Genomic DNA, 1,885 nt, shown 5'->3' with positions numbered 1-1,885 from the left:
ATAGATCATTAGAGAAATGCAAATCAAAACCACAAGGAGATACCACCTCATGCCAGTCAGAATGGCTATTATTAAAAAGTAAAAAAATAACAGATGCTGGCAAAGTTGCGGAGAAAAGGGAACCCTTATATACTGTTGGTGGGAGTGTAAATTGTTTCAACCATTGTGGAAAGCAGTATGGCAATTCCTCAAAGAGCTAAAAGCAGAACTACCATTCGACCCAGAAATCCCATTACTGAGTATATACCCAGAGGAATATAAAGCATTCTACCATAAAGACGCATGCATGCACATGTTCATTGCAGCACTGTTCACAATAGCAAAGACATGGAATCAACCAAAATGCCCATCGATGACACACTGGTTAAAGAAAATGTGGTACATATACTCCATGGAGTACTATGCAGCCATAAAAAATATGAGATAATGTGTTTTGCGGTAACATGGATGGAGCTGGAGGCTATTGTCTTTAGCATACTAACGCAGGGACAGAAATCCAAATACTGCATGTTCTCACTTACAAGTGGGAGCTAAATGATAAGAACTTATGAACACAAAGAAGGAAACAACAGATACTATGGTCTACTTGAGTGGGGAGGGGGGAGAAGCTGGAGGAGCAGAAAAAGTAACTATTGGGTACTGAGTTTATTACCTGGGTGATGTAATAGTATGTACAACAAACCCACGTGGCACATGTTTATCTATGTAACAAAACTTCACATGTACCCCCAAACCTAAAATAAAAATGTTTTTAAATAAAAAATTTTAAAAGTTTTTACGGACCATGAAATTGTTATCTTGATCTAATAGTCAATGACAAACTGAAGTTTAAAAAATATTGCTCTATTTCACTCTTTACTCCCAACAGCCACCCCAATTGCTCCAGTCCCTTTGGCTCTGGGGGGTATTTCTTTTTCTTTCTTGTGTTTTTTTCCCTTTTGATGAACAGAGAAACCCACATTTGTTTTCTATCTCCCATTGGGATTAGACACTTTGCAGGCTGTGGTCTCTCCCACAGTAGCACATACGTAATGTCTCTCAAACCTATGCACTTAATTTTTAATTTTTTAAATAAAAACGATTTCAAATGTAACATGAGAATTGTAGAAAATCTGGAAAGCACAGATATGGCCCTGATGTTCTGCCCCTTTGTCCACACCCTTTCCTGTAGCAAGTTGAAATAGGCTTTGACTAGGGACATGCTTGACCCCGCCCCTTAACACTGGGCTTAGCTGTGTGAAGTGTTGTGGCCCATGGGATGTCAGAAGATGTCATAGCAGCACAGGCTTGAAAGGGACGTCCGGCAGGTGCTTGCCATCCTGCATCTCTGCCATCCCCACAACAAGATGCCCAGGCGAGGTGGCTGGCCCCAGGGTGAAGAGGAGGAGTGTGGAGCAGAGCCACTGCGCCAGGTCACTGCAGCCAAACCACCAGATCAGCTACAGCCCGCTGAGCCCTCCTCCTGTGAGCCAGGAGGCCAGGGTCAGAAGAAACATCTCGCCTAAATATCCTACTCACAGAGCACAAAAGAAATGAATGCTTATGATGTTAAGCCACCGTTTGGGGGTGGTGTGTTACATAGGATTTCTGTGGCAATGGATAAGTGATTCAACAGAAAAGACTACATACATATCTACCTTTTAGACAAGCACCCAGATAATTCTCATGTAAGTAGCTTCTAGGCTAAAATTTAAGGAAGTCTACATGATAGTACAATATTAGAGAATCAGCTTTTTGATCCTGGCCTCCTAAAGATTTTTGGTCCTTTTTAATTTTCTTTCTTTAACCCAGGGATGGAGATTGCATTTTTTCAGATGCCTTTTTATGGGCATTTTAAAGATGATTATATGGTTTTCTTTGTAATCTATTAATGTGATATATTAAA

General features: G+C 40.7%; 1 annotated feature.

Annotated features, from left to right (window-relative positions):
• Window positions 1,385-1,885: an enhancer, noted in NCBI's record as "H3K4me1 hESC enhancer chr13:110585574-110586074 (GRCh37/hg19 assembly coordinates)". NCBI's record gives its function as "activates a minimal SCP1, AML or CMV promoter by ChIP-STARR-seq in naive and primed H9 embryonic stem cells {active_cell/tissue: H9 hESC(naive and primed)}" and the evidence as "EXISTENCE:reporter gene assay evidence [ECO:0000049][PMID:30033119]".

This window comes from Homo sapiens, chromosome 13 (genome assembly GCF_000001405.40).
Source record: "Homo sapiens chromosome 13, GRCh38.p14 Primary Assembly".
NCBI classification, from domain to species: Eukaryota; Metazoa; Chordata; class Mammalia; order Primates; family Hominidae; genus Homo; species Homo sapiens.
The sequence above is the reverse complement of the archived record's forward strand: the minus strand, read 5'-3'. Positions and strand labels throughout refer to the sequence as shown.